This window comes from Homo sapiens, chromosome 5 (assembly GCF_000001405.40).
Source record: "Homo sapiens chromosome 5, GRCh38.p14 Primary Assembly".
NCBI classification, from domain to species: Eukaryota; Metazoa; Chordata; class Mammalia; order Primates; family Hominidae; genus Homo; species Homo sapiens.
The window spans coordinates 27,906,009-27,933,220 of record NC_000005.10 but is presented as its reverse complement, the minus strand read 5'-3'; positions in this window follow the sequence as shown (position 1 = coordinate 27,933,220).

Genomic DNA, 27,212 nt, shown 5'->3' with positions numbered 1-27,212 from the left:
AAAATTAGTTGGGCGTGGTGGTGCGCGCCTGTAATCCCAGCTATTCAAGAGACTGGGTCAGGAAAATCGTTTGAATGCGGGAGATGGAGGTTGCAGTGAGCTGAGATTGTGCCACTGCACTCCAGCCAGGGCGACAGAGCAATACTCCGTCTGAAAAAAAAAAAAAAGCTATTAAAGATTTGAGTTTTAGTAAAGATAGTAACACTATTAGCTGAAATAAAGCACAAAGCAAGAAAATAGAGTAAAAATAATGTATATTGTTTGGAATGTGTTTGTTCTTTAGTGTCTATTGTGCATAGAAGTAGATGCTCAGTAACCAGTTGCAATGTAAAATCGCTTTACCAGAGAAGGGATAGGACTGGAGATCAGTTATGATTCATCTGAGAAGGGTTGATAGTTGAAGCCATCACAATAGGTAAAGTGTTTAACAGAAGCATGTAATAAGAGATACTTAGAGGTTTACATACAGAATCTTATTTAAAGTGGCCATAAATTGGAAGGAAGCTTTTGAAGATGACATCAGTTCGTATAATACATGCAAAAAACTGATAGCAAGCATGAACTATTTGATGAGTGCTTCAGGGCCATTGACAAAGAGACTGTAGCAATATCCTAGAGAAATTTTCAATTTCCTTTTACCAACAATGAGAAATCTCTTCAACTCCTGTAGTAGCTGATATGAATTGGCTTTCTTGGTGTTCTATTTGAAAGACCTGATATTTACCCAAATTTATGCTCATGGGAATGTTTCTCACAGCTTTTCTTCTGACCCTGTTCCTAATCTTGTAGATAGTTTGGAACTGACCATGTGGTAGTTTGGAACTGACCATGCGGTTAGTATAAATAGGTAATGTTTTCACTGTTATTTTTAGGAGTGCAGTAGTTGTGGGCATTTGCATAGATGATTGGAGAAGAGAGTTATACTGATATTAAATGTGGGCTAAAATCCTTGCATTACTAGTATGTGGTCTCATTTGTTTGGTTGCATATGTGGATGTGGCTTTCCTACAATGTGATGTAGAAAGAGTAGCATTTTATGTTTCAACAGATTAACTTTTATTCCTTGTTAATTCCAGAAGAAAAAGCAATGCTGACCTCTATAGGCTATTTAAAATTTCAGAAACTTTAAAATATATCTTACTATCTAAATTTTCTAATTTTCTCATTTACAAATCTTCCTCAGCCCATTGCTATTACCATCATTTTAATACCATTCCACCAATATCACAATATGAAAATATTCCTTCCAAATATCTTCACGTCTCTACAATATTCCTGGAGTGATTTAAATGTTTGGTATGAAAGAAAAGGAATCAAAGAATGTTGAAAAACACTTCATCATAAAATATTATTATGATTTGCTGTTTATATAATGTTCATTTGTGACTATTTCTGCACATTCTCTGACAATGTTTTTGTGTCTGAATTTTTTTCAAATAAATATTGCATCACATGTTGCTATAAATTGGAAAAATATATATTAAATGTATTTTTCTGCTATAAATATACGCATCTAATAAGTATTTTCTGGGTTATTTAATAAATAAATACTATATTTTTATTAAAAAGTAAAATATACATATCAAAATAATGCAGGCAAATATGAAAACATTATACCTGCCTCTTACGATGAAATAAAACCTGCAAAGGAAATCTAAATAATGCAAAAAAAATTCTCATTCAACTTGTTTCCCAAGCCTATCTGTACCCATCTGCAGATTGTTTGGAGCACTACAAAGAAGTAAAAAAATAAATAAATAAAATTGGAGGATACTGTAAACTATTGGTATTTTTTTAAATAGAGGTATCATATATATAACCAAATCCTTGCTTTTTGACTGTACAGGAATTTTTATCAGTGAAAAAATTTTAAATGCATTTCACTTTTCATACCTTACCATTAAGTTTTATCAGTTAAAAATATCTCATTCTCACTTTTGAAGCTAAGCTGAGAATGGACTATGCATTTTTAAATGCATTTTACTTTTAGTACCTTACCACTAATTTTTAACTGATATTTATTTATTTACTATTTCCAAGTTTGTTTGCTATTTCCAAGTTTTAACACAACCTTCCATACTTTATAAAATGTAAAATTTGTAAGTAAACATTTAACTACATTTTATCAAAACTTCCATGATTAAATTTTAAATGTATGCCAACAAAAAATATTGAAACTCTTCTCAACTCAAAATACTTTTATCCTCAAAGTTAAAACAAAACAAAAAAATTGGCCAGGGTAAGCAATCCACTTTCACGTAAAGTGTTCTGCTAGGTCCTCTGATTATTGTAAAATTAAGTAGAATATACACCTTAAGTTCTGTAAAACTATATCTTGCAGAACAGATATATTTACATGAAAACACTCTGAAAGAAGGCATTATCTGGTCTTTGCTAGAAGATACAAAGAACACAAAAGGTAGAATGGCCGTGTGAGGGAGGTAGTAACTGATGGGAATTGCAGTGGGAACTGAAAACAAACAAGCTGAATAATGTCTTCAAAATATCAGTATATTGTAATGTTCAATCTGTTTTTGTGAAGAATACAAAACTGTTGAACCAGAAAATATGTCCAAAGACATCTAGAGTATTGTCTGGAGAAAAAAAATAGGATATGTAAAATAAGGTCAGAGACATAGGATAAAGAGAGAAGGTCTAATAATTGTTTAATTGGTGTCCAGAAAACTGGAGACAGAAAATAGGACCTGAACAATCTTTGAAGAGAATATTGATCAGGATTTTTCAGAAGTGGTGAAGAACTCAATTTATAAATATAGGAATCTCAATGTAATCGGGAAGAATATAAATTTTACCGAATCTAAGTAACAGGGACCACATTCAAAATGAAAATCTTATGACTAACTAAAGTGAAAGAAATATTACATTCAGAGAGCAGTAATAAAAGTCATCTATGGGCCGGGCGTGATGGCTCACGCCTGTAATCCCAGCACTTTGGGAGGCCGAGGCAGGTGGATCACGAGGTCAGGAGATCGAGACCATCCTGGCTAACACGGTGAAACCCCGTCTCTACTAAAAATATAAAAAATTAGCCGGGCGTGGTGGCGGGCGCCTGTAGTCCCAGCTGCTTGGGAGGCTGAGGCAGGAGAATGGCATGAACCCAGGAGGCGGAGCTTGCAGTGAGCCAAGGTCTCACCACTGCACTCCAGCCTGGGCGACAGAGCGAGACTCCGTCTCCAAAAAAAAAAAAAGTCATCTATGAGTTTTCTACTGCCACAACGATGACAGCAGAATGAACTATTTGATATATCAAAAGAATACACCTATGGACATCATCATCTACATCTATTAAAAATACCCTTCAAGAATAAGGAAAAAGAAAATTATTGTATGCCAAGAAAATAGTGCTCACTACCAAGAATCTGTAATGAAGGAAATCCAAAGAAATACTCTACTGACTACATCCCTAGCACTGTGCTTATTTCTTTCAATTCATAGTCATAATTAATCTTCCCCAAACCAAATCATCTTACATTTATAAATAAATGTGTAACACTTTAAAAAGAAACGATATCTCTGGTTTATTTTAGCTCCAAAGTCTGTGATCTTTTGAATTAAGCATGTGTGCCTGCTGTCTACAGAATAGTCCACACAACATCTTAGTTTTAAATTTGTTTCTTACTCTATTACCTTCCAAATTTCAAGTATGATTATCAGGATTACCCAAACTATTTATATCTTCATCCTTTAGAAAGATATATATGTTGATTTTATTTAATGTTAATGTGAGTAATCCAGCATCATTTGGTTTATTTTCACTTGAGCTATTTGCGTATCTCTCTCTCTTTTTCTCTCTCCTCTCTATTTATCTATCTAATCTACTATCTGTCTTTCATCTAATTATCTTCGCACCCCATAAATCTTCAGAAGGGTGAGTTTCACCTCTGTTAAATTTAAGTATAACCCATCGCATTCATTTGGAACTAAATTAAGTATAGCGACTGAACACAGAGAATGGATAGGGTAGTACATAATTAGACAAATGGGCTTCAGTCACAGACTGTTTTGTGACTGAGCCTTGGCTCTATTTTTCACTGGCTACACAGGAATAAGCAAGTTAGTTTTGCCACATGTAAGGGTAACAGTAGGGAAATAGAGAACCTTAGTAATATACTGCATTTAAAATAGGTGTCAGAGTGCCTAGGACATGGAAGCATAGCAGTCAAAAGCAAGATGACCTAGTGATTAAGAAAAAACTGTAGCCAGACCGTCTGGTTTTGTGTCTGAACTCTGCCATTTTCTAATTCCTTGACCTTGGGCAAGTTACTTAGTCTCTCATCCATAAAAGAAGGATAAGATTAGTACCTAATTCAGAGTCAAGATTCATATAGATTAGGTCCATGCCTTCTATATACTGTTACTTAATTAAAACATGTTAAGATTGCTGTTATGATTATAATCAACTGATTAACAATTTTATAGTTAATAAATTTACTTGATAATACTAGCATGATAGTTATTTAGTGGGCCTGAATTGGAAGGTATAAAGATATATCAGGCATTGAGAATCACTCTAACTGCTGCATGACAACACAATCATTTGCATCCAGGAAAATACTTTATTGCATTCCATATAAGTTATCCTCTTTTATTTTCGTCATAATACTATATAAATTAATAAATGAATACATAGTAGAAATAAAGCATCATAATATATAAACACATGCATACACATACTGTGTAATTGAAATTATGGCACGAATCCACACATTGAAAAATTTAAGTCGATATTGCAGTTCCAAAATCTTTCAATATAGGTTCCTGCATGTTCTCTTTTTTCTTTATCATGTAAACTGGTGTATTATAACATAAATTGGAAGGCTTAACCTAAACTCATTTATGAGGCAAGATAAAATAGGTAGTAACAATACAATCTATATTCTCATTATTCATCAATTTTATTCTTTCAATTATTAAAGAACGTTAATTGAGTCCTTCTAGAGTGGGCACTGTGCCAAGTGATAAATAAGTGTTTAGAGGTATTCAAAAGACCATTCTTTGCTACAAATATTATTGCTTAGTAAAAACTGGCATTTCTTCTGCAAATAAATCTTTGAAACGAGTATTTTTTAATCAGTAGAAATTAAGTTGGACATAGATAAAAATAGAAATCTATGTAAAATTATAGCTTCTCTGAAAGAAACTATTAATAATGAGGAATGTATTTTCAGAAATTATTGAGTAAATTTAGGCTGACTGCCTTTCTAATATGGTTGTGGTTTCACTAAAATAAATCTGCACATGATATCTATAATATTTTAAAAATTACTTTTAATTATGAGGAAAGCAGTACTCTTTATACTGACAAACCAAATTATGAGAATAAATAAATAAATAAGCTATCCTCCTAAATAGTGTATGCTATAACTCATCCTAAAATAAAATACTGTTTCTAAAGTAATACTTATTTGGAATGTATACTGTGGACAAACTCCTCACTGAATAAATCTAAAATGTATGAGTGAAGACATTCACTGAAGTGAAACTGAAAACAATAATTGTCATAAAACTAGACAGAGTACTTAAACAATTAAAGTTTACATCAGAGGAGAACAAAAGTTAAATTAACATGGGGGAGAACAAAATGTTCATTTATGGACTCATTAATCGACTGTAAAATAAGGATGAAAAGTGGAAACACGGAAATTCAAATTTGTAAGTCTTCTTTCTCTCAATTTTTCTTTTTGCATTTAGCCGAAAGACATGGCAGAAGAGAGAGAAATAGAGGACTCTGTAGAATAGATGGCATTGATCAATCTGCTGTAATTGGTGGAGGTGGCTGGAAATACCATACCATCTACAGACAGTAAAATAACTGTATCTATAGACACAATTACTTAGATCGCCTTTGGATTCTAAGTTCATTTTCTTTAGAGACATACACAGATTATATAGACACATCTGTTATGAAGGATATAAACTTACCAGGACTAGCCATTGAGGGATTCTTTCCTGAGTACAACTGATATTCAAACTTCTCTGTGTCCAGGCAGCTTCAGCGTCACCTGAGAGCTTGCAGGAAAAGTGGAATCACAGGTCCCCACCCTAGACCTACAAATAATGCCCTTTAACAAGATCCCTGGGCGATTTGTATGCAAATCACCATTTAAAAAGTACTCATCTAGTACATATAGGTTGTTTGACAGATGAAGATGTTCTGAATGCCTTTTAGTTTCATTTGCAGTGACAGAAGGAAAAAGTTATCTAATGAGGAATAAATGCAAACAAAAACTATCTTAGCATTTTATCCTCAAAATGCATGCCATTTTACCTGGAAAAAGTAAGATTCTTATTACAATGTGAATCACAAAAATTATGTTATTTATCTGGAACTTGAAACTCAATATGAAATCATTTGAGGTTCCATTCAAAGTTCTAAAATCTATCAAACATAGGACGTGTTGCATTATCAAAGCAGTTTCATTAGAATTTGCATGGGCCTAAGTAAATAAGAGGTTATGCTCTTATGATACATCTAATATACAATTTTCCTATAAAATATATATTTAATAGCTCCTGAAAAAGCAACCGGATCAAGATAGGACACTGAATTAATTACTTCCTTATAGTGAATACTAAGAAATCTCCTGTTCTTTCTTCTCTACATTAAGGTATTGTGCATTTGCCATTGATGAAGAAATAGTGGAGTAGGTCAGAGTTCACGTACGTGCCAAATTTTGTATCTTTATCTATATAGCAAGTATCTAAGAATTCATGTGTATGCAATTTAGCAAGAAATCATATAAAAATAGGGGATAGTATTGAAAGTCTCAGAATTTTATTCTTACTAAAATATTTTGCATCAAATTATGTTAGAAAGGCACTATAAAAAAAACAAATACATCTTGAAATAAAAGTCTGGAAATTAAGTAAAACCATTAAGAGATCAGTATCAAAATATCTGATGATTATGGAATACATCCCTTTTTGTGAGGGGGCAAATTGTATTAACATTGCATTTTGATATAAATTAACAGAATAAACATACACAAAGAAAATAAAGCATTAAAGAAAATAAGGAGAAAATTAGTAGTGGTTATTTGGGAAAGAGATTACTACTATTATTTTATTTATACTTCTCTACTTTTGATAGTCTTTTCAATAAATAAAATACATACAGTACTTGTTAATAAGAAAAATACTTTTAAAATAATAATAGCTGCATTGGTTCTTGATGAAATCTTATCATCTTAAAGCTATATTAATATTGGAAACCTCAATTAATAAATATGAGATAAAATATAAGTATATGCTAATTTTGTGATGTATTATGTCTTTCCTTCTATTAAAAAATAATTAACATTGACAAATAGAATTAAGAAGATATTCTGCAAAATGGTTCAAACATCCATAAGGAACACATTTTACATGAGCTCTGTTATGAAAATAGATGTATTATTTAAGGTGAAACATTTAGATAATGTTCCAGTAAGTATGTTTATATAAAATTATTTTATCTTTTTTTATGTAGTTTTTTTCTACTTGTATTAGACATTTTTAGTGGAAATTTGAATACATTGCTATTTAACTGATAATACGAAATAACATATCATAAATTACTTATATTTATAGGAGCATATTTGATTAAACAAAAAGATATCTATTTGTTCTTTATAGTTTTAAAAATCAATGAAATAATTGGATTTGGGAAGATTAATAGGATACTTCAACTTACACTAAATTATATCAAAATGCTCTCTCCCATTTTTAAGTGGTTTAAAACCTCTCAAACCTACAATTTGGGCACTATTTCTTTCTAGTATTGATATAGGGACGTTATTTTCTAATATGCCTATAAAAAACTGCAAGCTTATTTACCTAAAAATTAATATAATGCTTCACAAAATGTCTGCACTATTACACCACTTGTACTTTTAAAATATTTTGTCAAATCTAGTCATTGACAATGTAATGCATTAATTACAACTGAATTTAGCTATCATAAATGGCAATTACATACATTGTGAATCATGATTTTCTTCTAATACATTTTTATTTATGAATTTTATTTCTTGAATATAACTGATAATATTGTTTATTTAAAACAGAGTATTTATTGATTTAATATCCTAAAAATTACTCTACATTAATTATTTTTAAATGCATAAAATTTTATAACACTCATCACTAAATTGTATTTTAAGATAAAGAATGGGAAATGGACCACAATAAAGAGCTTTAAATAATTTTATTTAAGCAGTATTTTTTTGTCGTTGCTATGTTAAAATGTCACTTAAAAATGAAAACAGAGCAGTGTTAAAATAATATGTCAGAATGTTGATTTTAAATGGCCTTACAAGTTTGCAAAGTGAGGAGTTTTATGTAGAACTACTCTGACCAGGAGGCAAAAGTTTAACTGAAATTTATACATAGGTATAATCAGATATAGTCATTTCTAAATGACATATAAATTTCGACATATACAATATGTATTCTACACATTTTATTGACATATGCAATATGTAATCTACAAAGGAACTATTAGCAATACGTATACTGATCATTTGCAACAAAAAGCCGTAAAAGCACCAAATTAGAGGATAATTTAAGGGGAAAAAAGGATTCTTTCTCCACCTAAATAGGAATTATTAATTAATGAAAGATTTCATGTATTGTTTCATAAGTTATATTCTTTTATTTAAATAATTTAAAATTATACCTATGACAAAGCATTTATGCTTATTATAGTAATAATTTACACAAATGATTATACATAATAACATCTTCAACCATTATTCAAAAATGGTAATTGTGACATTGTTAATTTTTTCCACAATTTTGCTTTCATTCATTTCAGGCAAGAATTTTCTCAGTCAGTGACTAATGTTAAAATAGTAAAAGTGAACTTTATTACAAGCAGATGTTTATTTTATAACATAAATATTTAAATTAGTAAATCGCAAGAGTTCTTTAATTAAAAGTGTTAACTTTATTGAGAAAAATTTAATTGCAGAATGGTTATTACTGTGAATAAGTTTTGCATATGTGTCTATCTACCTGTCTTTTATTTTTATTGCATCATTAGTTTTAATTGCTTTAATCATATCAAGTTAAATCCATTTGCATATTATCATTGTGTAAAGGTATATATTTTAGCAAGCAAGTACTTTGAATCACAGACATCTATAATATACAGTCTGTGGATGATTCTGAAATAGATTTACATATTTATTTAGGGAGCCGTATTGGGATCACTGGGATAGTTTCCTGAAATAGAAGAACTAATTTCTGTGAGGATATTAAGAAGACAGCTGTCATGTAATGCTTCCCAAGTAGTTTTTAAAGTACATAAACAATATTCTGTAATGAACACTCAGATTAGCATATCAGATGAAAGAGTGGAAATTCATCCTGAATAACTTTTAAAGGAAACACATTTTGAAAAAATTGAAGAAACAAAGTTTCTTTCTCCCTTGTCCCGTACTACTATGTTTTTTCAACCTAAAATTTGAGGGTAATTGGCCAGTATAAGTACCTTCTTAAATGTTATTGAATCCAATTAAAGTTTTCCAGTGAATTTAGAATAAATGTGAGACCACATTTTGATAGTAGATGAATAAGAGAAGAATGAGTAAAAAAAGAATGGCACTAATCTTTTAGTAAAAGTGATCCACCAGGCAAAAAATAAATAAATGAAAGAAATCTAAAGGTTTAGGTAGCTGGCTGTGAGTTTGCTTCATTTACCCTTCTTTTTAAATGCGGTACAATTCCAGATATAATTAGTAAAGTGTGTATAATAGCATATATATGTTATGGCTTGTATAATAGCAAGCCGTAAGAAGAACTTTGGGATCATTGGCCATTGAGAAGTGTGATGGAAATTCACTATCAGTGATAAAGGATATCCAGGAGCAAACATCAGATATGAAGGCAATCAGACAGCAAGACTGGATGCAGAACAACAGCCTACAGCTGGGCAGTTTGTACACCATACATACAACCTCAGCAAAGGGAGAAAGGAAGGCTAAAATTCAGCTTTCCCTCCTCTTATCAATCATTATGCCTAAACTACAATTGTTTCAAAGTAGAAGAGTGACGATTCATTAATTTATTTACTCAAAAGGGATATATGAATGCATGCAATGGATGCTACAGAGACAAAGCACAGAAGAAGCATTATTATCCCAGTTTCACAATAAGTTAAATCACTGCCTAAAAGTTCTTCCTAGAAGTAGAAATGCCTATGAGTGCTGTAAATCCCCCAACTTAAAATATGGCAGAATTATTCTAACAGAAATTAAACATGTACTGAGAGAAATCAATGAGAGTCTGTGTCATTGTGCATGGTCACATATTTTGCATGTGTTGACCTCTCTAACTACAATGGTGAGAAAACCAAACATATCACACTAGAACTTTGAATTATAAAAAGACACAGAAAAACTCACTACAAAAATATTTCTCCACGATTGAAATACTATAATGTGAGGCAAACAAGAGAGAGCCAGATGAAACTTAAATACTTAGTTTTTCTTTATACATAATCACTCAGAATATATCTAAACAACCAAGTGCATTTACCTATTTTTTTAACTACAATAAAAATGGAACCTAATGCTAAAAACTTTTTTATTGTTTGTAAATTACTGATTTGGCATTGTACAATAATCGCTTCAAAATCTACCTTATTAGCGCTTTAAAAAAGTTCACTATAAAAAAATAAGTTCACTATCTTGTAATGAAATTCTGTGTATAAAAATGACAGCTGATCATCATTAAAATTACAGCCACCAAGGCCCAAGAAGTTTTAAGGAACTCATTCGGCTGCTGAAAGTTTCAGTTCCCAGGATTATCCAAGCAAAGCAGATGCCAGATGCTCCCACAGCAACAAAACTGAATACCCTTTGTGGTTAGAAATTTTTAAGGAAAGTTATTTTTTTCTTTCTTTTTCTACAATAAATAGAACCAGAAACAGTCACAGAAATAGGAGCCGACTTAACTATTTGCATTATTTAAATATTGCCAATATTAAATTCCTAAAATCACAGACAGTTTAAAGAAGATAAGAGCATATTTTAAAGCAAATTTTCACATTGTAATACAATTTAATTTGGTATATGGATATATATATAGTGCAAGGCTTTTTTTTTTTTTTTTTTTTTTTTTTTTTTTGAGATGGAGTCTTGCTCTGTCACCCAGGCTGGAGTACAGTGGCACAATCTCGGCTCACTGCAACCTCCGCCTCCCGGATTCGAGCGATTCTTCTGCCTCAGCCTCCTGAGTAGCTGGGATTACAGGCAGACACCACGACGCCTGGCTAATTTTTGTATTTTTAGTAGAGACGGGGGTTTCACCATATTGGCCAGGCTGGTCTCGAACTCCCGACCTCGTGACCTGCCCGCCTTGGCCTCCCAAAGTGCTGGGATTACAGGTGCTACCACGTCAGGCCAGGCAAATCATTTTTTTAACTTACTGAGATATAAGTAATAAGAATTTAGAAGAAGAAATCTTAGGGAGCATAGATTTCAAATACAAGACCTAGATGAGAATACTGTCTGTGAAATTGATCAAGTCAATCCGGGAAGTGACAAGATTAGCCATTAATGTTGCTTTCATTGATAAAAATAATTATCCAGTATTCATTGGTGCTCGCCAGGGACTGGCATGAGGGGAATTTGGTGAGATGCTATTTAAAGGGGTTAACATTCCAGTTATGCAAGATGAATAAATCCTAGAAATCTACCGTACAACATGGTGCCTATAGATAATAATACTGTATTGTGCTCTTAAAAATTTAAGAGGGGCGATCTCATGTTAAGTGTTCTTACCACACTAAAAAAATGCAATTATAGTTTTTGGATATATATAAATTGTATCTCACTCCATTTTAAAGGTATCTTCACACCAAGCATAATGCCCTTCCTTGAAGAATATAAAACATTAAATATTAATTTAATTTATATAATACTCATGTATAAAAGTATATTATGAATATATGAAACTATTTTAAAGGCCAGCTAAACTTCAGAACATATCGTTGGTCAGAGGCAATATTCTTAATATATTATATATCATATTCTTCAAATAGCTTGTTCTGGTTTTGCTAAACAGCATCACTTTATATCTGTGCCTATAGATTTTCATTAATATGCACCCATCTACATGAGAGTAGTTTATAAGTAAGTAATCAATTTGTGCATAATTTAAAGCCTTATTTAAGTTGAACCAGTGAAAATATATAATCTAATAATCTTTTCAAATACAAAATGACTCTTAAAAGAAGAACAATAAAAGTTGTGCACAACATTTTATACCAGACTAGGAAAGAAAAGACCAGTCGTAGAATACCGTTTTCCAAAGGTTGTTTCCCTGAAATAAGTACTACTTGTTAACAGTAGAAGAGCAGAATAAAACGCTTCAAGGTCAATAGTTATCTTTACTTCCTACATAAAATCCACAAGAATTGTAGTGCACATTAGAATTTTAATAGTTCTGTTCAGCCGTACCGTAAAAAGGCTGTTTGACTTTGCTAAATTCAGATATTTTAATTGGCTTGCTTAATTACTAATATCCTTAAGAACTGTGTTCTGTGGAATAAAGTATAAACTGAAACATGTTCATTTTAAATTTTAAAAACATCTTGATTGAGATATAATCCACATGCCATACCACCATCCATTATTTAATCAATAATTTTTAGTATATTCAGAGTTGTACAACCATCGCCATGGTTTTAGAACATTTTCATCACCCTAAGACAATCTGCATCCATGAACATTTTCCATTGTCCTTTCCCCCAGCTCTACACAACCACTACTCTACTTTTATTCTCTAAGGATTTGCCTATTTAAGTCAATATAAATGGAATAATGTTTGCCTATTCAAGAACATAAAAATGGAATTATCCAATATGTGGTTATTTATGTGTAGCTTCTTTCATTTAGCATAGTTTTCAAGGTTTATCCATGATTGTAGCATGTATCAATTATTTGTTTCTTCTTAAGGTAGAATACTTTTCCATTCTATGGGAGTACCATATTTTATCTGTGCGTTCATCAGTTGATAGCATTTAGGCTGTTTTGACCTTTTGTTAAGAATAATACTGCTATGAACATTCATGTATATGCTTTACGTTTTATCATTTCCCTTAGTTGCATACCTACTAGTGAGAGTGCTGTATTACATGGCAACTTTATGGTCATCTTTTCTAAGAACTGTCAGACCGTTTTCCGAATGGCTGCATCATTTTATATTTCTAACAATATATAAAGGTTTTGATTTCTCTACATCCTAATGCATATTATATATACTTTAAATTATTTCCATGCTAGTGACTGTGCAGTGGATTTTTCTTGTTCTTTTTTTTTTTTATACTTTAAGTTTTAGGGTACATGTGCACATTGTGCAGGTTAGTTACATATGTATACATGTGCCATGCTGGTGCGCTGCACCCACTAACTCGTCATCTAGCATTAGGTATATCTCCCAATGCTATCCCTCCCCCCTCCCCCCACCCCACCACAGTCCCCAGAGTGTGATATTCCCCTTCCTGTGTCCATGTGATCTCATTGTTCAATTCCCACCTATGAGTGAGAATATGTGGTGTTTGGTTTTTTGTTCTTGCGATAGTTTACTGAGAATGATGGTTTCCAATTTCATCCATGTCCCTACAAAGGACGTGAACTCATCATTTTTTATGGCTGCATAGTATTCCATGGTGTATATGTGCCACATTTTCTTAATCCAGTCTATCATTGTTGGACATTTGGGTTGGTTCCAAGTCTTTGCTATTGTGAATAGTGCCGCAATAAACATACGTGTGCATGTGTCTTTATAGCAGCATGATTTATAGTCATTTGGGTATATACCTAGTAATGGGATGGCTGGGTCAAATGGTATTTCTAGTTCTACATCCCTGAGGAATCGCCACACTGACTTCCACAATGGTTGAACTAGTTTACAGTCCCACCAACAGTGTAAAAGTGTTCCTATTTTCTTGTTCTTTTGAAGTTCCATAATGATATTATTTGGTAATGATATTATTACTTCCATTATTTTAAGTATAATGATATTGAGAGGTTTTTAAATATTTTTTGGCCAATTGTATAACTTTTTAAAAGAAACCTCTTAACATCCTGCCCCATTTTGTAATTGGGTAATTATTAATATTTCCAACATTTTTATTGTGGTAAAATGTACATAACATAAAATTTACCCCTTAACTATTTTTAAATGTCCAGTCCACTGTCATTAAATACATTCATAGTGTTAGGTGACCATTATTGATCACCTTCCAACTCCAAACTTTTTTCATCTTATAAAATTGAAACTCTATACTCCTAAAAGTTATACCACTCTGCCTTAAAGGTACATCAGATTAACTTCAGTAACACGAAAATTCTTATCCTTCAACAACTCCATTCCTACCTCTCTTGGTTTTTGATGACACAAAATTACTTCTTTATACATTGTATTCCCCAAAACATAAACTGGTAGTTCTCTTAAATGAATTGTCTTTAAAATTATATAGAAAACAAAATCTAGAGTAACTAACCAGAGTTAAACATTACAATAGCTTTTAAGGCCAAGCGTGTTGGCTCAGACCTATAATCCCAGAACTTTGGGAGGCTAACGTAGGAGAACCACTTGAGTCCAGGAGTTCAAGACCAACCTGGGTAACATAGCGAGACCCCGTCTCTATAAAATGAAAATAAAAAAAAACACTACCTTTTAGACTAATAATTGTTTTCTTAAAATGTATTAGTTTCTTAAATCATGTAGAAAACAAAAATGTACAGTTACAAGCCCTTGCTAGAATATTGCTAACATTTATAATTGCCCCTATATGTACTTTCACTGAGATTTGTATTTCTTCATACGGATTTGAGTTACCGTCCAGTTTCTTTTCATTTTGCCCTGCAGAATTCCCCAGGGTATATTTTTCAGGTCAGCTATAGTGGTAACAAATTCCTTCTTTAATTAACTGAAAATGTCGTAATTTCTCTCTCACTTTTGTAAGACATTTTTTGGATATCAAAGTTTGGCTGACAGTTTGTTTTTTTTTTGTTTGTTTTTGTTTTTTTTTTTTTTTTTAGTATTTTTTGAATATGTTGGCCCACTGCCTTCTATCCTTCAAAGTTTTTGGTGAGAAATCTACTGATAATCTTATTGACGATCTCTTGTATGTGACAAGTTTTTTCTCTCTTACTGCTTTCAAGATTCTCTCATTGTCTTTGTCTTTGAAATGCTGTATTATAACGTGTTATAGTGTGGGTCTCTTTGAGTTCATCTTACTTAAAGTTTGTTGAGTATCTGGGATGTTTATATTCATTTTTCATAAAATTTGAAAAGTTTTCAGCCATTATTTCTTCCAGATAGTCTGTCTGCCCCGTTCTTTCTCTCTTCCCATTCTGAGACTACCTCAATGGGTATTTATTCCTCTTGATGATGTCCCACATGTCCCTTAGGCTTTCTTCATTTCTTCAATATTCTCTTTTTTGTTGTTCTTCTACCTCAATAATTTTTATTGTAATATATTTGATTTTGCTGATTCTTTCCTCTGCCTGCTTGAATCTGTCTTTAGATCCCTGTTGTCAATTTTTTTTAAATTTCATTTTCAGAAACTGTTATGTTAATTGATTGCCTTTATTTCAATGGTCATAATTTTCTGTCTTTTTTATATTTTTAATCATTTTATTTTTAATTTTTAATCTATTTATTTATTTACTTAGAGACTGGGTTATGAGATTGGCTAATTTTTATATTTTTGGTAGAGATGGGGATTTGCCATGTTTGCCCAGGCTGGTTTTGAACTCAAGTGACCTACCCACCTCAGCCTCCCGAAGTGCTAGGATTACAGGCATGAGCCAGCATGCCTGGCTCTCTCTTGTAATTTTTAATGTCTTGTAATTTTTTTTGTTGAAAACTGACATCTGAATCTAATAATGTGGTAACTCTGAAATTTGCCTTTCTCTTTCCCCAGAGGTTGTTGTTTTCTGTTATTATCTTTATCGTTTCTGTTTCTTGATTGTTGTAGGGTCTATATGTCAAATATCAGCCTGTGGTGTAAATTTATGCTTCTCAGTTTTTTGTGGGTTCATACCTTTCCCTGAGCATATATAGTCACATTCTAATTTCCTTTGTACATTCCATTGCTTTTGAATGTCCTAGTCTTTAATGTCTGTCTCCTCCCCAAGCCTCCAAAAGAGAGAGAGAAATGAAGGAAAGAAAAATGATGCTGGTTCTTTAAATCCTCGGGAAGTCACTTCAGGCTGTAGGGGGACAAACAGTAATAGTGATAAAAGGTGCAATAACGATGGCTGTGTATCTCTCTGTACTTCTGTGATTAAAAAAATAATAATAATAATAAAAAGCACCAGTCAAAGATCAGTGCCCAGTACCTCAATATTGGAGGAGGAAACCAGAATTATTTTTGTCCATCCTGGCTCCTGTAAGTTGTGTGCAGGTTTCTCCAGGAACAAGTGCACAGCTGCCTGTCACAGAGCTAGGGAACTAATACTGTGCGAAGAGCTTAAATTGTCCAAAATTACCACAGTTCCTTCTTTGGAAGTTGCAAGGCTTTAATAGATTCCAGAATTCCAAAATAGTTATATCAGACAGACTGATTTTGTCCACGCTATGTAGGTGGAAAGACCGATTCCTCATACTTCCTACTCTGCTATTTTCCCAGATTCCCCGAGACATTTTATAACAGAAAATTTCAGAACACATGAGGATGATGAATATTGCAAAGGAATAGAGACTATCTTTGGTAGCAGAAGACTATGAAGATGCTTTATTAATTTGCAAATGCAATATTATTCAATTTATTCATATAAAATATTCAATGGAAAAATTTAAGGTATGTAATGTTTGAAGACCCATTTAGTTATTAAACCATTAAGATATAAAATAATAATATAACATCTAGAAAAAGTAAGAAAATAAGAAAATTACAATTAATAAGAGTTTGGTAAAGAAAGAGTTAGCTATAATCTAAATATATGATAGCAACTTATATATCCAAGAATAACTAAATATCAGAAAATATTGAATTAATGATAGAAAAAATAAAGTCTTGAAATACGCTTTACAATGAAATTCTATAACCTAAGTGTCATAAAACTATACAACTGTAATGTTAAAAATGAGCTTTGACTAACCAAAAGCTACACAATGATAGTGGTGTGGGGAAAAAGATCTAAACCTTCTCCAAATTTTGCTGTCGTGAAACAATGGAAAGCAAAATTTAAAGATGATTTTTAAGTTGGTAATGCAATTATAAATGTTATATACAAGACAAAAAACAATACTTTTCAAACAGAGAAAAGAGGGAAATACATATTTAACCAGATATGAAAATATATTTAAGACAAAAATATATTTAAGACAAAAAGATATGAAATAGTAAAATGAAAATCATTCATGTGAAAAATGGAAAGATGTAAGAATCAAATAGTAAAGAAAACTATTAAAAATCATATCTATTAGGATAATTGTAACAGCCTATGGCAAAATGAATTCAGATCCAGTATGAAGTAAAATGTAAAAACAAACAAAACAACCAACAAATATCAACCTAGAAATCTTATAAAATATTCGATTATATTAAATTGCTTAATGGAATTTTACTTTGAATCATAACAACTGTAGAAATAAGAAAATTAAATATTGAAAAAAGTGAGTTACGACAATTTTCTATTCATCAAAAGATGAAGGGATAAAGTATCGTATATTCATAAAATGTAATATCATTCAGTCACACAAAGAAATGAAGGGCTGCTACATGCTACAACTTGGATCATCCTTTTAAGACATTATGCTAAACAAAAAACACTAGTCACAAAAGTTCAAAAATTATATGAGTCCACTGATATGAAAGTCCAGAATAGGGTAACCTATATAGAAATAAAACGTATTAGTGGGTGCTTAAGCATGGGAACAAAAGAGTGAATGGGGTAGTAACAGGGAGGTAGAGGGTTTATTCTGAGATAATGAAAATATTCCAATAATAACTATCATGACAATTGTACATATCTGTGAGTATATAAAAGACAATTTAATTGTAGCTATTTATTTCCAGAAAATTCAGTTTTATCTTTTTATACATAATTCTTCTTTTAAATACATTTAAAATTGATAAATAAAAGTTGCATGTATTTACTGTGTACGAATGTAGTTTGGAATGTATTTACATTGAGGAATGGTTACATTGAAGTTGCCTGTGTTTTGTGTGTGTGTGTGTGTGTGTGTTTGTGTGTATATGTAGTGAGAGAACTTAAAATCTACTCTCAGAAATGTTTGAGAATGCAATATATTGTTATTAACTACAGTCACCATCTTGTACAATAGCTTGTTTAAATTTATTACTCCCACCTAACTGAAATTTTGCATATTTTGACCAACCTCTCCTCTAACTTTTCACCCCGTATCCCCAAACTCAGGCTCCTGGTAATCACCATTCTACTCTCTGCTTCTATGGGTTCAACATTTTAAAATTATGCATATAAGTGATACTATGTGATATTTGTCTTTCTATGCCTGCCTTATTTCACTTAACATGATGCCCTCCCATCCACTGATGGACACTTAATTTGCATTCATATCTTCGCTATTGTGAATAGTGTTGCAATAAACATTGGAGTGCAGATATCTCTTCTACATACTGCCCCATTTCATTTGTATGTGTACCCAGTAGTGAGATGTTTGGATCATATGGTAGTTCTACTTTTAATTTTTTGAGGAACTTCCCTGGCTGTACTAATTTGCATTTCTACCAACAGTGTGCAAAGGTTCCCTTTTATCCATATGCTCACTGACGCTTTTTATCCTCTGTCTTTTTGATAATAGCTATTCTAACCAGTGTGAGATAATATCTCATTTTGGTTTCAATTTGCATTTCTCTGATGATTAGTGATATTGAGCATTTTTTTAATATACTTCATTGTGTGTGTATATACATGTGCAATATTTGTACATATATATTAATATATGTACTATTCGAAGACCATTTAATATATGTAAATATTTCAATGTTTAGTTATTGGTCATGTTAACTTCTTCAAATAAACCTCTGCGTGAAAGAAAACTCTGACCTTTTGATCCTATCAAGACACTAAACAAAGGTCCAGCCCCAACCTGGGCTTTCTCTCCAAAGCACACTTTCCTGACAATGAACCTCCTAATTTTATCATCTTTTGAATTCTGCACAAGCTGACAATTTTCAAAATTATGAAGTTCTATTTCTATTTTGTTTGTCATCTCAATGTTTCTCCTTCCTTCATATTTACTATAATCAGCAAAGAGAAACAAAGCCACTCCTTCAAAACTTTGCCTGGAAATGTCCTCAGTTGTATATCCAACCTTATCCTTTCCCCTCTATAAAGATAATGGCTATATTAGGAATGGTCATATAAGTTGTTGAAGTATTTAAGAAAATATTAGATCACATTGCTCTCAGAGGACTCGGGAGGTCTCCCTGAAATTAGGCTACATTTAGTTTCTTAACAGAGTTTCCAAAAGACATATTTCACTATTTATATTTACCATGTGGAACGTTATCCCTATGAAAGAAATTATCCAATTAGGAAAGGCAGTACAAAAGATATCCCATGTTAGCTGAAATAATCAGTTGACACTACCTCAGCTCTGGAAGGCATTCTGGTTAGGCTCAATACACTGGGAAGAATACATTCTACTAGATAGTACTTTCCACATAAGGGTTTTTATCAGTCTTCAATGTAGTTGCTTTTTTTTTTTTTCCTAAATACTCTGTTAGCACACATACATTTTTCCATATCAGATTGACTTTGCTATGTGTATTATTAGATTATGTTCCATTTAAAATAAGATATTGTATAGTTTATCTGTGTAATCTCAAATGTTTGACATAATGCATCATAAAATGTGCTGTCAGTAAATCATTTTTAATAAATGTCGGCAGGCCGGGCGCGGTGGCTCACGCCTGTAATCCCAGCACTTTGGGAGGCCGAGGCGGGCGGATCACGAGGTCAGGAGATCGAGACCATCCCGGCTAAAACGGTGAAACCCCGTCTCTACTAAAAATACAAAAAATTAGCCGGGCGTAGTGGCGGGCGCCTGTAGTCCCAGCTACTTGGGAGGCTGAGGCAGGAGACTGGCGTGAACCCGGGAGGCGGAGCTTGCAGTGAGCGGAGATCGTGCCACTGCACTCCAGCCTGGGCGACAGAGCGAGACTCCGTCTCAAAAAAAAAAAAAAAATAAATAAAAAAATAAATGTCGGCAAATGTAATTTTATGTCATATTTGAATTGAAGTTTCAAAAGCTCATTCAGAGATTTTATTGAAGAAAAAGGCAATTGGGAGTCCACTGAAGACTTTTTGAGCAGAACAGTTATGTAGTCAGATATAAAATTTAGTAAGATTAATTTGAAAGACGTTTTTATATTGCATTGGAGCATTACATGCATGATATAATTAATTCTGTTAAAAGACTGCTTCAATAATCCAAGTGGTAGATGCGATAGAGTTAATCCTCGGGGGCTGATAGTCATTATAGAAAAAAAGTAAGACATCACTTGGAAATGCTCCATGGAAACTAAAAAGAAAAAGAAGGTTAAAAATTCCATGATCATATGTTGAGAAAAAAATAAGGGCTTATTTATTTTTAAAAACTAGAACTGTTCATTGTGCCTTTTATTTCTTAAAACTAATGGTTAGTAATCATAGCATACAAACTAAATATATGAATTAAAACTGGTTAACAATTAGCCACTGTATCAACAGAAAAGTTGTTTAAATCATTTATTTTTTTTAATTTTGTGTGCATAGACATACAAATAAAATCTGCATTGTAGTATTCATTGAATTTCTTAAAACTAATAAAATAGTTAACAAGAAATATTCTTAATACGCAAATGATTTAGTTCTATGGAGTTTTAAAGAAATAACTATCATTGTACTCTCGATATAAATGTATAAACCAATTGATAATTTGTGTAGCACATGGCTATTTAAGCAGCATGTAAATTTTCTTTACATCCTGCTAATCTCTTATAAGGATAACATTTAGCTTTTTTTTTTTTTTTTTGAGATGGAGTCTCGCTCTGTCGCTCAGGCTGGAGTGCGGTGGCATGATCTTAGCTCACTGCAACCTCTGCCTCCCAAGCTTAAGCGATTCTCCTGCCTCTGCCTCCCGAGTAGTTGAGATTACAGGTGCTAACCATCACACCTGGATGATTTTTGTATTTTTAGTAGAGACTAGATTTCACCATGTTGGCCAACCTGGTTAATCTGTAAGTGTAATTATCCAAGGAAAATGTTATTGGAAAGACAATTCTTTTTTATATGTGTTACATTCAATGTTTTAAAAGGTGTTCATGACTGTCACCTTGAAATTGGCTATGAATTATCTATAAATTCATTCAAATTATATGTATAAGTTTGAGTATGTATGAATGTGTTAATACTTATGCAGGTAATTTTTTAACATTCTTATACTTTTAAACACCTATGAGAGTTAAGAATCATCATATTTTAGTATATAAAAAATTAATATTAGAATTTTAAAAAGTTTTTGTCATGTATCTTGTCTATTCTAGTCTATGTTATATTAACAAATACAAATTTCACTGAGTATAAATGAGCTCAGTAGTTGCAAATGGAAAAGCATTTGATTCAAATGAAGAATAACTTTAAAATTACCGTCAATACACTGGCAAGCTATTCATAAAAATATACATACATAATACAAATGTTTTAGTGTTTATTACATAAGTAATCTGAAAGAAGGTAGAAATTAAGTGGGCATAAAAGCCTAGAATTTATGTTGACATTAAACAGTGAGTGATTGTGTGTACTTTTACCGGAAATGACTCATCTGTATTCTTAAGTACAATGTCCTATATACAAGGGCATTGACTTAAAAAAACATAAGTTAAAAATTACCACCAATAGACAAGCAAACTATTAATAAAAATCTGTATGCATAAGTTTTTTTTAGTGTTTAGTAAAGAGGTGATCTGAGAGAAGACAGGAATTAAGTGGGCATAAAAGCTTAGAATTTAACTTCACATTAAACAATTGAAAAATTGCACATACTTTTCTTGGGAATGACTGATCTTGGCTCTCAACAGCTTATTTTTAAATTTCTAAGAATTTTATAAGTTGATTGTTAAACACAGGCATTATTAAAAATTAATGTATGTATAAAGAAATAAATGTATCAAAAACCAAGGTAATAAATACAACCTATTGTTTTCTAATTATTTTACTAAATTTAACTCTTATCTATGTTCTTGATTTTTTTTTTGTCTACTGTATCAAAATGGTGGAGAGACTAACAATTACCTATTACTATTAATCTTTTCCCAATTCAATGTTCAGATACATTGCATAGACAGTGTTATGGGTTGACTTGTGTTCCCCCCAAATGTACACATTAAGTCCTAACACCAGTACCTCAGAATGTGACCTTATTAGTGGTAGGGTCTTTAAAGAATAATTCAAGTTACAATGAAGTTATTAGGGTGAACCCTAATCCAATAGGAGTGGTGTCCTTATAAAAATGAAACATCTGGACACAGAGACGTGTATAGAGAGAAGATGATGTGAAGAGAACTAAAGGAGAAGATGACCATCTACAAGCCCGAAGAGAAAGAACAGAAACAGATCTTTCCATCAGGGTCCTCACAAGGAATCAGCTCTGGCTACACCTCAATTTTAGACATTTAAGACTCAAGAAGTGTAAGACAATACATTTCTGTTCTTCAAGCCACCCAGTTTGTGGTACTTTGTTATGGTAGCTTATATTAGTTCATTCTTGCACTACTATAATGTCATATCTGAGACTGAGTAACTTATAAAGAAAAGAGATTTAATTGGCTCACAGTTCTGCAGGCTGTAAAGGAAACGCAGTAGCTTCTGCTCCCAGGGAGGCCTCAGGAAGCTTCCAATCATGGGAGAAGGCAAAAGGGGAGAAAGCTTCTCACGTGGCAGGAGCAAGAGCATGAGAGAATAAGCGGGGAGGTGCTGCACACTTTGAAACAACCAGATCTCATAAGAACTTACTCACTATGACAAAAACAGCACTAAGAGAATGGTGCTAAAACCATTCCTGAGAAATCCACCCCTGTAATCCAACCGCCTCCCAGCAGGCCCCACCTTCAACACTGGGGTTAACAACTCAATATGAGATATTGAAACCATATCACACTTCTAAGAAACTAACAGAAGAAACTTGTAAATTGCAGTGGTAGAAATTTTCCTATCACAGAAATTGGCAAAGGCTACATATCTTATCTTTTGTTCCTGTGTAGTCTGCTGGTAAACATTTACCAGCATACCACTGTGGGTATGTGTATGTGTTTGTGTTTCTTTGTATGTAATTTACAAGAATTATGAAACATTTTACTACTATGGATGACTACTCTCCCCTTCATGAAGGCCTGCCATATAAAGCAGCTTTTAATTTTTAAGTAATTTGTCTCTGGTTTAATATTTACATGCTATTTGAGTAATTTTCAATTTAATAAACCTTCATGATGTATTTTCCTTAAAAATTTTAGTAGTAAATAATTGTACATACTTATGGGGTATATGAGATATTTTGATACAAGTATGTGATATATAATAATCAAATTTGGGTAAGCGGGATATTTGTCACCTCAAATATTTATCATTTGTTTGTGTTGGAAGCATTCCAAAGTTTCTAGCTATTGTAAAACATACAGTAATTATTAACTGTAATTGCCCTATTTTGCAGAACACTAGTACTTATTCCTTACATATAATTGCATTTTCATATTCATTAACTACACCTGTTAATGCCCCCTTCCCATTAACTTTCCTAGCCTCTGGTTACAATGATTGTATTCACTACCTCCATGACATCAATTATTTTTTTAGCTCCCGAGGGTGAAAAGAAAGGGAAGTATTTATATACTGTTGATGGAAATGCAAATGAGTATAACAGCGACAAAAGTTTCTAAAAATATATATATATATAATTGTTATATGATCCAGCAATGCTACTAATGAGTATATATCCAAAAGAAAGGAAATCAGTGTATCAAAGAGATATTTGCACCCCCATGTTTATTGTAGCACTACTCACAATGACCAAGATATGGAATCAGCCTAAGTGTCCATCAACCAATAAATGGATAATATATCTTTTTCTATTTTTTTTTTTTTTTGAACGGAGTCTCTGTCTGTCACCCAGGCTGGAGTGCAGTGGCACGATCTCCGCTCACTGCAAGCTCCGCCTCCCGGGTTCACGCCATTCTCCTGCCTCAGCCTCCCGAGTAGCTGGGACTACAGGCGCCCGCCACCACGCCCGGCTAATTTTTTGTATTTTTAGTAGAGATGGGGTTTCACCGTGTTAGCCAGGATGGTCTCGATCTCCTGACCTCGTGATCCACCCGCCTCGGCCTCCCAAAGTGCTGGGATTACAGGCGTGAGCCACCGCGCCCAGCCAATACATATTTTTTCAAAAGTAGAAAACTACTCTTCCATGAGTAGGTGATTACAGAGGCAGATAAAATGTTGGACTTGAACTTGGCCAGATTATATGACGGTATGAGATAAAAGTGGGGCTGCAAAACTGATAAATTAGGTTGAACGAGGGAAAATTATTCAGATGCATGTAAATCAGGGAAACATGACAACCTCTGGCAATCCTAATGTCGAGCATGTCTACCCATAGAAAGTTATGAGTCATCCTCTGCCTAAAGGGCATTCCTATATAATTGAGAAAAGGTTTCCAACACTGTAAGTTAGTGTGGTGCTGCTGCAAAGGATGCTGGGTGATTCTTGTTATCTACAGAGTAAAGCTTACTTGGATCACTCTCCTTAACAGCATGGTCAGCCTATGAAGACAAACGCCTGTTTATGTTATATGGGGAAACCTTGCTATGTACCTCAGTGACATCAGAGATATCACGAAATAAAATTATTTACTAATGAATTTAGTCCTCATAAAATTAGCCTATATTTATCTTTTGCCTTTATCCTAGTCCACCATCTCAATTTATTAGCCTCACCTTCTCTCTAAGTATCCACAGCAAAAAATACAATGCAATGAAATCATGCAATTACTTCTGAAATGAGATTGTAAGATTTGCAAGAGATGAAAGTTTTCTTAGAAATCATGATAAGTTTCCCAAATCTCACACAAAGGTATTGACATGTGAGGATCTGGTAGTGTTTGACTAGGAAACTATAAAAGAAGTAGACAATGGAAATGCATGTGCATTTATCTCTTCACTAGAGAATGGATTAAATACCAACAGAAATTCACGAAGTGCTAACTTTTAAATAAATAATACACTTCAAATATAATGAAAAAGACAAATATGAGGTCAATGCTTTTATGTCATTACTTCTTTTAAAATCAATACTTGCATATGTTTTTTCAGGAAACATGAAATATAATTTTACTGAACATAAATGAAATAAAATGTATCGAGGTTTATTTTTCAGGGTAAGAAGATACAGTCTCCACAAAAATAAATTTTCTCTTTTTAATGGATTAACTTAAAGTGGTGCTTACCAATTATAAATCTGATAGGGCATTTCAAATTAAATTTGTGCAAAACTAAATTTTTTATTTCTATATGAAGAAAAGTGGTATCTTTCCCCAAACTTATCCCTTTCTCTGAATAGTAACTCAATTATGCCAGTTGCACAGATTAAAATTTAATTGTATTCATTGGTCTTTTTTTTTTTTTTTACATCTCTCCATGATCAATCTGCTAGCAATTTCTCTTGGCTTAGTATTTGAAATAAATACAACTAAGTTCTGAAATGTTTATTCTGTCATTCTATTTCAAGTCAGCATTACTCATCACTCAGAAAATAGTACCAACTTCCAAGTTGGTCTCACTGCTTCTACTTTTGCCTGTTTAAATTATAGTCTTTACTCATCAGCCAGAGTGATACTTTGAAAACTGAAGTAAGACTGTTGGACTTTTCTACTCATATTCTCCCAATGGTTTACATTTCACTCAACAAAACATTATAAGTCTTCATTATGCTGTATATGGCTCTACAGTATATAGTTACCGAACACTCTTGTGTTTGGATCTCTGACCTCATCACTTTACAATCTCATTCATTCACACACCTTTTCCAACTCGGCCTTCTTTGTACTTCTTGGACTTTTCAAACACACCCATTGTGCATTTTAGGTCTTGCTATTTCTTGTCCTGGAATGTTCTCCCCTTCTCTTTATGGGAGTAATTGTTGTCTCACTTTATTTAGCTCTTTGTTCAACTGTCTTCTTATCTAAGATGACTTTATTGATTGTTATGACTCAAATAACCCCTCCCCATAAACTGCCTCTTTTATGATAACACTTCGTTTTTATTCTTCATGTTTACCATTATCAACGAGGTATTTATTAACTTGTTTGTTGTCTCTTTTCCGACTATAAATACCTTTTTTTTGTTCAACACCATTTAATTCACACCTAGTATTTAGTACACACTCAGTAAATATTTGTCTTCCAAAAAGAATATGTTAAAGGCAATGAATGAGATGGCATGGGCAGGGAGTTTAAAGTTACCAGGTGCTAGCAACCAGAAAGTAGTGTGGGCTATTCAATTTATTGTCCTTAACATGCATGCCAACGGTGAGGAATGCTCAGGATTGCTCATAGATCTAGAAATCTGTGAGGCTCTTCAAAACATGCCTAAACCACATAAAACATATCACTGTAGACTTTATAATGAATACAGTAACTATATCCTTAAGTCAGAACTATGAGATAATCTTGGTAGTAGAAATGATAAAAGTAGTGTTAGCAATACAACAATTATAGATGCCATTTATTATTTGCCATAAAATCTATACTGATCTTAGCTTGTTACATATATTATCTTGTCATGCAATACCATCTTTAAAATTACTGTAAAATCATACATTTTAAAGATGAGCAAATTGATTTAAACGAGTCCAGAAATATGTTCAAAGTTATGTTCTAATGTGATTAAAAGCCCAGATGTAATCCCTAGACCACTTGACTTTAAAACCTTTACAATGCCGTATCTGCTAGCATGACATGAAAGCATCTATTCCATATTTGCCATTTGCATCAACTTTAAGGTGTATCATTTCTTTAAAAGTTATTTCAGAGCTTCATTGATTTTTCTTGGTATTTAATTCACTCTCTACTGAGTAACTCATATGCATTTGCAAGGTCTGTGAAAATAACCTGCTGTAAATGAGTAGGGGAGATTTTCCCTGAGGGAATAAAAAAAATCATAGAGAAAATGTGTT